This window comes from Homo sapiens, chromosome 6, assembly GCF_000001405.40.
Source record: "Homo sapiens chromosome 6, GRCh38.p14 Primary Assembly".
In the NCBI taxonomy this organism is placed as follows: Eukaryota; Metazoa; Chordata; class Mammalia; order Primates; family Hominidae; genus Homo; species Homo sapiens.
In genome coordinates this window covers 43,529,675-43,543,636 of record NC_000006.12, presented here as the reverse complement: position 1 = coordinate 43,543,636, position 13,962 = coordinate 43,529,675, and the positions used below count along the sequence as shown (strand labels likewise).

At 44.6% G+C, this 13,962-nt stretch overlaps 2 protein-coding genes, 1 non-coding gene and 1 pseudogene across 4 annotated transcripts in view, besides 2 other annotated features; 3 read left to right on the top strand and 1 right to left on the bottom strand.

Annotated features, from left to right (window-relative positions):
• Positions 1-13,962, bottom strand: part of POLR1C (RNA polymerase I and III subunit C) — a 45,319-nt gene that overhangs the window by 18,771 nt on the left and 12,586 nt on the right. The gene's annotated exons all lie outside the window — the stretch shown is intronic.
• The window catches only part of XPO5 (exportin 5), a 53,705-nt gene that overhangs the window by 32,402 nt on the left and 7,341 nt on the right, over positions 1-13,962 (top strand). For both annotated transcript variants that reach the window (NR_144392.2, NM_020750.3), the window contains 3 exons: positions 9,630-9,730; positions 12,062-12,158; positions 12,813-12,949. Coding sequence is in view for 1 of the 2 variants with exons in the window: in NM_020750.3 (NP_065801.1) it covers positions 9,630-9,730; positions 12,062-12,158; positions 12,813-12,949 (335 nt within the window). In the remaining variant the exon portion in view is untranslated. The remainder of the gene's footprint in view (positions 1-9,629; positions 9,731-12,061; positions 12,159-12,812; positions 12,950-13,962) is intronic.
• Positions 1,283-1,332: a silencer, noted in NCBI's record as "silent region_17235". NCBI's record gives its function as "represses an Ori minimal core promoter by ATAC-STARR-seq in GM12878 lymphoblastoid cells {active_cell/tissue: GM12878}" and the evidence as "EXISTENCE:reporter gene assay evidence [ECO:0000049][PMID:35858748]".
• On the top strand, positions 1,401-1,462 carry LOC124901522 (U7 small nuclear RNA). Its single transcript, XR_007059943.1, has one exon. It is a non-coding gene; the product is annotated as a U7 small nuclear RNA (small nuclear RNA).
• Positions 3,911-4,852, top strand: RPS2P29 (ribosomal protein S2 pseudogene 29; annotated as a pseudogene).
• Positions 10,135-10,335: a silencer, noted in NCBI's record as "peak5815 fragment used in MPRA reporter construct". NCBI's record gives its function as "represses an SCP1 promoter by STARR-seq MPRAs in K562 erythroleukemia cells {active_cell/tissue: K562}" and the evidence as "EXISTENCE:reporter gene assay evidence [ECO:0000049][PMID:32103011]".

The following is a 13,962-nucleotide window of genomic DNA, read 5'->3' as shown; positions in this document are numbered from 1 at the left end:
GAAAAGGGCTTAACTTGTGAGTGTGTGTAGATGAATTTTCACAAAGTGGACACATTCATGTAATCAGCACTCAGATCAAGAAGCAACTTTACCTAATACCTCTTTTCAGTAATTACCTGCCCCTCAAAGATAACTACTATTCTGATTTGTATTTATTTATTTATTTACTTACTTACTTACTTTTGAGGCACGATCTTATCCTGTCGCCCAGGTTGGGGTGCAGTGTTGCGATCACGGCTCACTGCAGCCTCGACCTCATGGGCTCAAGCAGTCCTCCCACCTCAGCCTCCTGAGTAGCTAGGACTACAGCCATGAGCAGCCATGCCCAGCTAATTTTTAACTTTTTGGTAGAGATAGGTTCTCTCTATGTTGCTGAGGCTAGTCTTGAACTCATGGGCTCAAGAGATCCTCCCAAAGTGCTGGGATAACAGATGTGAGCCACCTCACCCAGCCCACTATTCTGACTTTTAACATTTTGTCCAGGTTTTTGAACTTTGTGAAAATGAAATCAGAAGTATGCACCTTTTGGTGTCTGCCTTCCTTTCGCTCAATATTTTGTTTCTGAGGTTCATCCATGTTACTGCATGAATGTACTTGTGTTTTTTTTGTTCTCCTTGCTTGTATGATACTTCATTGTGTGAATATGCTGTAACTATTCAGCCTTGATGGACCTTTGGGTGATATTTTAATATTACATATCATGCTGCTGTTGACATTCTTATGTCAAATACGTTTTGTGAACATATATATATAATTTCTGTTGGATACACACATAGGAGTAGAATTCCTAGCTTATAAGAAATGTGTATTTTCTGTTTTTATAGATGCAACCTGCTTTTTAAAGTGGTTATACTAATTTATATTCCCACCAGTTATATGCTGGAGTTGGGAGTTTTAAATTACTATTTTTTGGCTGGGCACAGTGGCTCACGCCTGTAATCCAAGCACTTTGGGAGGCCGAAGCAGGTGAATCACTTGAGGTCATGAGTTTGAGACCAGCCTGGCCAACATGGTGAAACCCCGTCTCTACTCAAAATACCACCACCACCAACAAAAAAAATTAGCTGGGCATGGTGGCAGGTGCCTGTAATCCCAGCTACTCAGGAGGCTGAGGTAGGAGAATCGCTTGAACTTGGGAGGCGGAGGTTGCAGTGAGCTGAGATCATGTTACCGTACTCCAGCCTGGGCAACAGGGTAAGACTCCATCTCAAAAAAAAAATTGAAAAATAAATAAATTACTATTTTTTTAGTAGAGAAAAGTTTGCTTTAAGAATGTAGCAAGGTATTCATAGCACCTCCTGCGTCAAATAATCTGATAATAGAAGGTGTTGAAGCTGTGCTGTCCAGCATGGAAGCCACTTGCCACATGAAACTATTGAGCACTTGAAGTATTACTAGTCAAGTGTTACAGTACTTTCAGAATTGGTCTGGTAGGCTTTCCAGTTTTCTCTGGAAAGCTCCTTAGAGAAAAAAAATAAAAATTAAAAAATAAAAATGACTAGCCTGAATTGAGATGAACTGTAAGTATAAAATACACACTAGATTTCTAAAATCGGCCGGGTGCGGTGGCTCATGCATGTAATCCTAGCACTTTGGGAGGCTAAGGCCTTAGGCAGATCACTTGAGGTCAAGAGTTCAAGACCAGTGTGGCCAACATGGTGAAACCCCATCTCTACTAAAAATACAGAAATTAGCCAGGCGTGGTGGTGTGCATGCTTGTAACCCCAGCTACTCAAAAGGTTGATGCAAGAGAATCACTCGAACCCAGGAGATGGAGGTTACAGTGAGCTAAGATCGTGCCACTGCACTCCAGCCTGGGAGAAAGAATGAGACTCTATCTCAAAAAAGAAAAAAAGAAGTATTGGATTACTACAGTACTTACAAAATGAAGTACTGATAATTACTACACTGTGGATCAACCTTCAAAACATTATGCTAAGTGAAAGAAGCCAGACACAAAAGGCCATATGTTGTATGATTTCATTTTTATGAAATATCTAGAGACAGAAAGTACATTGGCGATTGCCTCAGGTTGGAGAGGAGAAGAAAGTGTAGATCAACTGCTACTGCTTAATGGGCCTGGCAGTTATTTTGGGGGCCATGGAAACGTTTTGGAACCAGGTAGAGGTTACTTATGCAACCCTTTGAAAGTATTAAATACCACTGAATTGTGAACTTTAAAATGGTTAGGTTTTGGTGGGGATGTTTTTTGTTAGTTTTTTAAAGTTTTGTGGGTACACAGTACATACATATATTTATGGGGTACATAAGATGTTTTGACACAGGCATGCAATGCATAATAATAATCACATCAATTAAAATGGGGTATCCATCCCCTCAAGCATTTATCCTTTGTGTTACAAACAATCCAGTTATAGTCAACTGCAGTTATGCTTTTTAAATGTACAATCAAAATTATTATTGACTATAGTCACCCTATTGTGCTAGGAAATACTAGATCTTATTCATTCTTTGTGGGTTTTTTGTACCCATTAACAATCCCTACCTTACCCCTAACCCACCACTACCCTCCCCAGCCCCTCTGCTAACCATCCTTACACTCTGTATGTCCATGAGTCGAATTGTTTAAATTTTTAGATTCCACAAAGAGTGAGAACATGTGATGTGTCTTTCTGTGCCTGGCTTATTTCATTTAGCATAATGACCTCCAGTGCTATCCATATTGTTGCAAATGACAAGATCTCTTTTTTTTTTTATGGCTGAATAGTACTCCTAAAGTGGTTAGTTTTATGTTATGTGAATTATGCCTCAATTTTTTAAAATCTTAATAAAAATAAAGCTGGTTCTTTGAAAATACTAGTGATAACATCAGTAAATTCAAAAGCTTAAGAAAAATGGGGCTGGGCATGTTGGCTCATGCCTGTAATCTCAGCACTTTGGGAGGCCACAGCAGGAACATTGCTGGAGACCAGCCTGGGCAACGTAGCAAGACCCCATATCGATTTTTTAATTTATTTTTTTTGAAACGGAGTGTCACTCTTGTTGCCCAGGCTGGCATGCAAAGGCATGATCTCGGCTCACTTCAACCTCTACCTCCCAGGTTCAAGCGCTTCTCCTGTCTCAGCCTCCTGAGTAGCTGGGATTACAGGTGTGTGCCACCATGCCTGGCTAATTTTGTTTATTTATTTATTTATTTTGAGACGGAGTCTTGCTCTGTCGTCCAGGCTGGAGTGCAGTGGCGCCATCTCGGCTCACTGCAAGCTCTGCCTCCCAGGTTCACGGCATTCTCCTGCTTCAGCCTCCCAAGTAGCTGGGACTACAGGTGCCCGCCACCTCGCCTGGCTAATTTTTTGTAATTTTAGTAGAGACAGGGTTTCACCGTATTAGCCAGGATGATCTTGATCTCCTGACCTCGTGATCCGCCCGGCCTGGCTAATTTTGTATCTTCAGTAGAGACAGGGTTTCACCATGTTTGCCAGCCTGGTCTTGAACTCCTGACCTCAGGTGATCCCCCCTCCTTGGCCTCTCAAAGTACTGGGGTTACAGGCGTGCGCCACCATGCCCAGCTAATTTTGTATCTTCAGTAGAGACAGGGTTTCATCATGTTGGCCAGGCTGGTTCTCAAACTCCTGATCTCAGGTGATCCGCCCATCTTGGCCTCCCAAAGTATTGGGATTATAGGCGTGAGCCACTGTGCCCAGCCCCGTCTTCTATTTTTAAAAATAAAATATTTAAAAATGGATAATTTCCAGGGAAAATGTAACTTATTCTAACTCAACAAGATAGAAAACCTAAAGAGATATAACTTCATATTAATTATATTGGTAGTAGTTAAATTAGACCAAAAAACTCCAGGCCTAAATGATTTTACATGGGAGTTCTCCCAGACCTTCAAGGAACAGATAATTTATCTCTTAGACAAACTATTCCCAAGAATAGAAAAATGTAGCTTCTTCTCCGAGAAAACACCAAATGGCGGATGACGCCGGTGCAGTGGGGGGGCCTGGAGGCCCTGGTGGCCCTGGGATGGGGAACCGCGGTGGCTTCCGCAGAGGTTTCGCCAGTGGCATCCGGGGCCGGGGTCGCAGCCGTGGACCGGGCCGGGGCTGAGGCCGCGGAGCTCGCGGAGGCAAGGCCAAAGATAAGGAGTGGATGCCCGTCACCAAGCTGGGCCGCTTGGTCAAGGACATGAAGATCAAGTCCCTGGAGGAGATCTATCTCTTCTCCCTGCCCATTAAGGAATCAGAGATCATTGACTTTTTCCTGGGGGCCTCTCTCAAGGATGAGGTTTTGAAGATTATGCCAGTGCAGAAGCAGACCCGTGCTGGCCAGCGCACCAGGTTCAAGGCGTTTGTTGCTATCGGGGACTACAGTGGCCACGTCGGTCTGGGTGTTAAGTGCTCCAAGGAGGTGGCCACCGCCACCCGTGGGGCCATCATCCTGGCCAAGCTCTCCATTGTCCCCGTGCACAGAGGCTACTAGGGGAACAAGATCGGCAAGCCCCACACCGTCCCCTGCAAGGTGACAGGCCGCCGTGGCTCTGTGCTGGTGCGCCTCATCCCTGCACCCAGGGGCACTGGCATTGTCTCCGCACCTGTGCCCAAGAAGCTGCTCATGATGGCTGGTATCGATGACTGCTACACCTCAGCCCAGGGCTGCACTGCCACCCTGGGCAACTTCGCCAAGGCCACCTTTGATGCCATTTCTAAGACCTACAGCTACCTGACCCCCGACCTCTGGAAGGAGACTGTATTTACCAAGTCTCCCTATCAGGAATTCACTGACCACCTCGTCAAGACCCACACCAGAGTCTCTGTGCAGCAGACCCAGGCTCCAGCTGTGGCTACAACATAGGGTTTTTATACAAGAAAAATAAAGTGAATTAAGCGTGGGAAAAAAAAAAAGAAAAATGTAGTGCTCCATAACTCATTTTATGAGGCTTATTTATTTTGATACCAAAACCAGACATTAACAGTACCAAAGAGGAAAATTATAGGCCTAAATCACTTGTAAACATAGAGACGAAAATCCCAAATCAAAAGCAATATGGAGCTAGTAATAAGTCTTTTAATATAACCACATTTCCATTGTTATATCTCAAAATACTACCAGTAATTCAATATCCAGTATACAATCAGTATTCAAATATCACCGAATGTTTTCCTTTTTTCTGTTTATCCACACAAGGTTTATATATATTTAAGATATCTCTTAGTCACTAAATTAGGCTTAGCGTGGTGCCTCACGCTTGTGATCTCAGCAGTTTGGGAGGCCGAGGCAGGCGGATCCTTGAGGCTAAGAGTTTGAGACCAACCTGGCCAACATGACAAAACCCCATCTCTACTAAAAATTTAAAAAAGTAACCAGGTGTGGTGGTGCGCACCTGTAGTCTCAGCTACTTGGGAGGCTGAGGCACGAGAATCACTTGAACCCAGCAGGCGGAGGTTGCATTGAGCTGAGATCACGCCATTGTACTCCAGCCTGAGCGACAGAGCAAATCTCTGTTTCAAAAAAAAAAAAAAAAAAAAAAAAAAAAGATGTCTCTTAGGCTCTAAATTTATAAGTTCCTTGCCTTTTTTTTTTTTTTTTTTTTGAGACCATCTTGTTCTGTCACCCATGCTGGAGTGCACTGGTGCTATCTCAGCTCACTGCACCCTCCGCCTCCCGGGATCAAGCAATTCTCCTGCCTCAGCCTCTCGACTGCCTCAGCCTCTCGAGTAGCTGGGATTACAGGTGTGCGCCACCACGCCTGGCTAATTTTTTGTATTTTTAGTAGATACAGGGTTTTGCCATGTTACCCAGGCTGGTCTCAAACTCCTGAGCTCAACTGATCCACCTGCCTCAGCCTCCCAAAGTGCTGGGATTACAGCCGTGAGCTACCATGCCTGGCCCTCTTTTTCTTTTCAATTTATTTGTTGAAAAATGTGGACTTGTATTTCCAGAGTTTCCCCTGGTGAAATTTTGATGATTGCATCTCTGGAGTATTGTTTGATCTTGTCTACTTTCCTTTATTTTTGTTATTTTGTTACACGTGAATATGTCTAGAGGACATATGGCACTCTGCAGCCTGAGGACCAAATGTAAGTCTCCACATGTTTGTAAGTAAACTTCCGTTGGAACATACCTTGGCCATTCATTTACCTACTGTTTATGGCTGCTATTGCGCTTCAATGCAGAGTTGAGTTGTCGAGGACAGACACCATATTGCCGGCCAAGCTTAAAACATGTATGAATGTGACCTCTGGTCTAGAAAACTGACCTCATACCAGTTCAGTTTTTTAGCAGATAATCCTTTGTAGATGATGATGGGTTCAACACAATAGTAAAGGTTTAGCCTTTAAAAGACTCCCAGGTATGTATTACAGGTTGATCTATGACAGAAGTAATGAAAGTTAGAAAAAGATGGCTGGGAATAGTGGCTCATGCCTATAATTTCAGCACTTTGGGAGGCCAGGGCAGGAGGATCTCTTGGGGCCAGGAGTTTGAGACCAGCCTGGGCAACACAGACACTTTCTCTACAAAAAAAAAAAAAAAAGTTTTAATTATTCACGTGTGGTGGTGCACACTTATAGTCCCAGCTACTCGGGAGCCTGAGGTGGAAGGGCCACTTGAGCCCAGGAGTTTGAGGCTGCAGTGAGCTATGAACACACCACTGCAATCCAGCCTGGGCAGTAGAGTGAGACCCTGTCTCTTTAAAAAACAAAAAACAAAACAAAAATCAATTATTCAATGCTGGGACAGTTGGCTTTCTATGCAGAGTTGAGTTGTCGAGGACAGACACCATATTGTCTGTTTCACCGTGTTAGAAAAAACAATTAGATTCCTACCAGCCACCACACACAGAAAAAATTTTCAGGTGTTTTAAAACCCAAAAAGTAAAGCTGCTTTTTTTTTTTTTTTTTTTTTTTTTTTTTTTTAGATAGAGTCTCACTCTGTCGTCCAGGCTGGAGTGCAGTGGCGCGACCTTGGCTCACTGCAACCTCTGCCTCCCGGGTTCAAGCGATTCTCCTACCTCAGCCTCCTGAGTAGCTGGGATTTACAGGCGTGTGCCACCATGCCTGGCTAATTTCTGTATTCTTAGTAGAGACAGGGTTTCACCATGTTGGCCAGAGACTGGTCTTGAACTCCTGACCTCGTGATCCACCCACCTCGGCTTCCTAAAGTGCTGGGATTACAGGCATAAGCCACCGCATCTGGCCAAAGTAAAACTTCTAGACCATATTTACAGCATGAGGTTAGTGAATGACTTTTTTTTTTTGTCGAGTTGGAGTCTCACTGTGTTGCGCAGGCTGGAGTGCAGTGGCACAATCTCGGCTCACTGCAATTTCCGCCTCCTGGGTTCAAGCGATTCTTATGCCTTGACCTCTCAAGTAGCTGGGATTATAGGCATGCACCACCACACCCGGCTAATTTTTATATTTTTAGTAGAGACAGGGTTTCACCATGTTGGCCAGGCTGGTCTCAAACTCCTGACCTCAGGTGATCCGTCTGCCTTAGCCTCCCAAAGTGCTGGGATTACAGGCATGAGTCACTGTGCCTGGCCAGGGTAGCGAATGACTTTTTTTTTTGAGAGGGAGTCTCGCTCTGTCACCCAGGCTGGAGTGCAGTGGCACGATCTTGGCTCACCTGGATTCAAGTGATTCTCCTGCCTCAGCCTCCGGAGAAGCTGGGATTACAGGCATGCACCGCCATACTCGTCTAATTTTTATATTTTTAGTAGAGACAGGGTTTCACCATGTTGGCCAGGCTGGTCTTGATCTCCTGGCCTCAGGTGATTCTCCGGCCTTGGCCTCCCTAAGTGCTGGGATTACAGGCGTGAGCCACTGCGCCCGGCCTAGAATGACTTTTTTTTTTTTTTTTTTGAGATGGAGTCTCGCTCTGTCACACAGGCTGGAGTGCAGTGGCGCGATTTCAGCTCATTGCAAGCTCCGCCTCCCGGGTTCACGCCATTCTCCCACCTCAGCCTTCCGAGTAGCTGGGACTACAGGCGCCCGCCACCATGTCTGGCTAATTTAGCTTTTGTATTTTTAGTAGAGATGGGGTTTCACCATGTTACCCAGGATGGTCTCGATCTCCTGACCTCGTGATCCACCGCGCCCGGCCTCTAGAATGACTTCTTAAGCAAGAACAAACAGAACAAACTATGGAGGCTTAAACATGGTCTGAAAGATGTTTTCAGTTTGCATCTTAAACCTGTAGCTACCATGCCCGGCACCCACCACCACACCTGGCTAATTTTTATATTTTTAGTAGAGACTGGGTTTTACCATGTTGGCCAGGCTGGTCTTGAACTCCTGACCTCAGATGATCCACCCACCTCGGCCTCCCAAAGTGCTGGGATTACAAGCGTGAGCCACTGGGCCCAGCCATAGAAACACTTCTGTTTTTTGGGGTTTTGTTGTTGTTGTTGTTTTTTGAGACAGAGTCTCGCTCTGTTGCCCAGGCTGGAGTGCAGTGGCGCAGTCTTGGCTCACTGCAAGCTCAGCCTCCCGAGTAGCTGGGACCACAGGCACCCACCACCACGTCCGGCTAATTTTTTGTATTTTTAGTAGAGACAGGGTTTCACTGTGTTAGCCAGGATAGTCTCGATCTCATGACCTCGTGATCCACCCACCTCAGCCTCCCAAAGTGCTGGGATTACAGGCATGAGCCACTGCGCCTGGCCTTTGGGGGGTTTTTTTGAGATGGAGTCTCACTCTGTTGCCCAGGCTGGAGTGCAGTGGTATGATCTCGGCTCACCACAACCTCTGCCTCGCAAGTTCAAGCAATTCTGCCTTAGCCTCCCAAGTAACTGGGATTACACGCATGCACCACCACACCCATCTAATTTTTATATTTTTAGTAGAGACAGGGTTTCCCTATGTTGGCCAGGCTGGTCTTGAACTCCTGACCTCAGGTAATTCGCCAGCCTCGGCCTCCCAAAGTACTGGGATTATAGGCGTGAGCCACCGAGCCCAGCCTAGAATGACTTCTTAAGAACAAAAAGAACAAACTATGGAGGTTTAAACATGGTCTAAAAGATGTTTTCAGTTTGCATCTTAAACGTGTAGCCATCAGTTTGTTCAGTGGGGTCATTTCTGTGAGTAGGTAAGAGTGCTGTGGACAGCGGGTATATCAAGTTCACAGTCCTTGCTCCTTACTCAAAGCCTATAATTGCTCAGGTAGGTCATTTTGGTGGGGGACAGCATGTGTTGGGAATTGTGTTCCTCTATCAGGTCCAAACAGCTGTTGCAAGGTCCATGCTCTTGGAATTAAGACAAAACATTGAAAAATGGGGCAAATTACCACCTCCTCTGTGTTCCTACCTGTAAATCCACAGTGTTGCACACATTTCATTCCGTATCACTGGTGGTCAAAAAACTCCTGGGACCACCTCAGATTTAAAAGAATTTTGCTTTCTAGCTTTGGACTCTGATACTGTCCTGTGTCTTGGGGTTTAGTTCTCATGTTAATTTATCTTAGGTATTGTATACTAAGATAATTATATCTATACAAGTCTGTTCCCTCCTCCAGCGAGCATTCAGATATTTATACCTTCTTTTCTTTCCCCTGCCAGGAGTTGATGGGCAGATCTGTGTGAAACTGTAGTATCACTGGATTACAAGCAAAACCCACTCTTTCCTTCTGCATCAGATGGAAAAGCTCAATAGCATTCTTGTTTCTTTCAGAACCCACAATACATTATATGCACCAGAAATGCTAGCCAAAATGGCAGAGCCTTTCACCAAGGCTCTGGATATGCTTGACGCGGAAAAATCTGCTATATTAGGTAAGAAATGTAACCTTTTTTCTCCTAAGGTTTATCTTATCCCTAATGGATGTCCCCTTTTTTTGTTGTTTTTTAAGAGTCATAGTCTCTGTCACCCAGGCTAGAGTGCACTGGTGCAACCATAGCTCACTGTAGGCTCAAACTCTTGGACTCAAGCAGTCTTCCTGCCTCAGCCTCCCGAGTAGTTGGACCACAGGCAGATCACAACGCCAGACGAACTTTAAAATTTTTTTGTTGAGACAGAGTCTTGCTATGTTGCCCAGGCTGGTCTTGAACTCTTATCATCAAGCAGTCCTCCCACCATGGCCTTTAAAGCACTAGAATCCTAGTGATTACAGGCGTTCTTATGGGTTCCTTGAGCAGCTTCAGCCTATCTTGTGCTTCTTCCATCTTGTCTTGCACTGCCTTGACCATCTATTTGTTCAGAAATGCAGAATGTGGAGTTCCTATAAGCTCTATATGAACAAGTGTATTTACTTCATTATCTTAGCATACAGAGAAAATCGAAGGCAATTTATTTTTTTTCCCCGTTAACCCCTTCTTCAATTTAGCCAGTAGGTTGTGGTGGGTGTTACAGCCATTCAATTATAAATAAATCATGGCCTTTAACCTGAAGGATATTTGTATACTTTCCTGCCTCCTCGTGTGTGTGTGTGTGTGTGTGTGTGTGTGTGTGTGTGTGTGTGTGTGTGTAGATAGGTATCAAAGTTTTTAAAGGAATAGATTTTAAGCCATTTCCCAATTGTTACCTTTTTTGTTTTGTTTTGTTTTCTTGAGAGAGTCTCACTCTGTCACCCAGGCTGGTGTACAGTGGTGCAATCTCAGCTCACTGCAACCTCTGCCTTCCAGGTTCAAGTGATTCTCCCACAGCCTGCTGGGACTACAGGCATGCACCATCACACCCGGCTAATTTTTTGTATTTTTAGTAGAGACAGGGTTTCACCATGTTGGCTAGGCTGGTCTCGAACTCATGACCTCAAGTGCTCTGCCTGCCTTGGCCTCCCAAAGTGCCAGGATTATAGGCATGAGCCACCACGCCTGGCCTTCCAGTTGTGACCTTGTTAGGATACTGCTTTAATTCATTTTCCCATTGAAAATAAGCATGAAAATAACTGTGCAGTCATAATTGTGGTATTTGCTGTGAAGGAAAGTGGCAGGGCTCTGAGTGTTTATCGGGAGACCTAACCCAGTCTCAGAGGGAAGTCAGAAGGCTGACTCCCAATGGGGACTTGAAGGATGAGTACGAACTAGCTAGGTTAGGGGCATGAGGAAATGCTGGGCATTCTGGACAAACAGAATGGCAGGTATAAGATCTGAGGCAAGAGAAAAAGGCCTTGGTATGTCCAGAACATAGAGATGGTTGAATCATGTGGCTGGAGCACAGGGAGCTAGTCTGGGAATGTGGGATGAAGTTAGAGCTAGAGGCATCAGTTGTCTAAACCTTGTTCCCATCTCAGAAGCTTCAGGCTGGCTCACCATCACAGCCCCCATAGTTTGTCTTTGTCATCAGCTATAACCTGTGTCTGAGCCCGGCTGTGGTCAAGCAATCCAATGGCATTCCTCAGCTGTGAAGTTAGCCAAAGGAAGGATGTTAATTTGCCTTTCCAGAACTCATGTCTGTCTGTTTCAGCCTAGATAGTCCTGAATCTTTTCCTTTGACACCATTCCATTTAAGGGTTATGTTGCAGACACCAGTAAAAGTAGAAATTCCAAGAAATGTATAGCTATTAATATAAAAAGTAGGTGTTGCTTACCACACACCCCCATGCCATTATTCAAGTTAAGTCAGGAACTCCTGCTATAGAAATAAGTGGCCAACCAGAAATACTAGAATGGACAAACAGTTCCCACAGATAGCTTCTGACTATAGGACTCGAAATGTAAAACCTCTGATTACACTTAAAAATATAGATATTTTAAGGCAGTTTTTAATACTAAGGTAAGTGGGTTTCATTTTTAGCTGCTACACATCTTAGTGTTTTGTGTAAGATTTTGCTTAAAAAAGGGGTTTCATAACTTAATTGTGGGAGCATCCCCAGAGCTTTATGGAAAAATACTTTTGAGTTGTCACTTTTTTTGGTACAGGTTCCATCTGGGGGAAAAAAAAAAGCAGATAAAAGAGTACCCGGGTCTAAAGTCCTGGGTCCTTAAGTAGCTTTCACCTTCTCCTACCAAAAGAGTGCAGCAAATCACGTAGCCAACTGCTTTGCAGTACAGCACCAGACATGCACACATCTTCACCCCTGAACAACAGCTTCCTGCTGTAGAGTGTTGGCCAATTGAGACTCCTGACAGTGGAGCATCATGTTCTTGACCCGTATTTCCCTGTAGGATTACCTCAACCTCTCTTGGAACTCAATGACTCTCCTGTCTTCAAAACCGTCTTGGAAAGAATGCAGCGTTTCTTCTCTACCCTCTATGAAAACTGGTAAGGAACCAATGCTGCCTCTCCATATTTTCTTCCTCGATATGTATTGTATAGGAATGTCCATGGGTTGGACTTTTCATCTAGTGTACAGGTAAGGCGAGGCAAGAGTTTGATAGGAAACTTATCATTCTAGTGTTAAATAGAAATGAAAGCCTGCTTTCCTGCATTTGCTTTTTTTGTAATTGTCATATGAGCCTCACAATCCCAGCCTGCTTCATGCCCAACTTGTCTGTGTTTCTAGTGTATAAAATGATGAAACCCAAGTCGAAGCTAAAAGTGGTGGGGATTGCTTAGACCCTACACTGCTTGCGGCATACTTCTCATAGGAGTCGGGTGGCTGGATACTGGTTGTGGGTTGGGGAGGTAACTGGCCCTCATGGGCTTTGGCCTCACTAACCACTACACTAATCAGCCAAGCTAATGAGATCGTCCATTGTAAGTCCACATTAAATAGTAATGAAAGCTACTGCTGATCTCGGCCACCAACATCTGTCTTTAAAAAGATGCTGTATCTATAAGTTCTCTTAAGTAAATACAACTGCTCTTCTGGCTGAAAAACCTTATTGTAGGCTAGAAATGAAATTCATGGGACAGGGCTGGCAGTAACAGATGTTGGATTTGTCATTTTCAATGCTCTTTTTTTCCCCTTTACAGTTTTCATATCCTAGGGAAGGCAGGCCCTTCCATGCAGCAAGACTTCTATACTGTGGAGGACCTTGCTACCCAGCTTCTCAGCTCAGCCTTTGTCAACTTGAACAATATTCCTGACTACCGACTCAGACCCATGCTTCATATCCTTTCAAAAGTCTCTACATAACCCAAAAGGTCAGAAAATTAGAGAGAGAAACAAAACAGGTCACAGCAACCAGAGGGAAGAGGCAGAACTGGAAGGAAGAGATGAGATTATGTATCTAAGTGTATCATGTCATTAAAAACACTGGCAGATTGCAGGGAAAACATGAAGGCAGTCCAGATGGCCATAAACTTTTCCTTAGGGGTAAATTTTTACCTTCCCCCTTCTCGGAATTATTACAGATAAAACTTTTTTTTTTTTTTGAGACAGTCTTGCTCACTCTGTTGCACAGGCTGGAGTGCAGTGGTATGATCTCGGCTCACAGCTTCTGCCTCTCAGGTTCAAGCTATTCTTGTGCCTCAGCCTCCTAACTAGCTGTGATTACAGGTGTGCACCATCACGCCCAGCTGATTTTTATTCCTATTTTTTGAGACAGAGTTTTGCTCTATTGCCCAGGCTGGAGTGCAGTGGCATGATCTTGTCTTACTGCAACTTCCACCTCCTGGGTTCAAGTGATTCATGTGCCTCAGCCTCCCAAGTAGCTGGGATTACAGGCGCATGCTACTACGCCCAGCTAATTTTTTTGTATTTTTAGTAGAGACAGGTTTTCGCCATGTTGGCCAGGCTGGTCTCAAACTCCTGACCTCAAGTAATCCGCCTGCCTCAGCCTCCCAAAGTGCTGGGGTTACAGGTGTGAGCCACCATGCCCAGCTGTGAAAGATAAAACTTTTATCCCTTTTCTGTATTTTTAGAAGCACTTTTTTTTTTTTTTTTTTGAGACAGGGTCTCAGTGTTACCCAGGCAGGAATGCAGTGGTGCCATCAAAGCTCAGTGCAGGCTCAAGTGATCCTCCCACCTCAGCTTCCTGAAGAGCCTGGACTGGACCACAGATGCGCACCACCACACCCAGCTAGTTTTTATTATTATTTGTAGAGATGGGTCTGTATTATGTTCCCCAGGGTGGTCTCAAACTCCTGGCTCAAGTAATTCTCCTGCCTCAGCCTCCAAAGT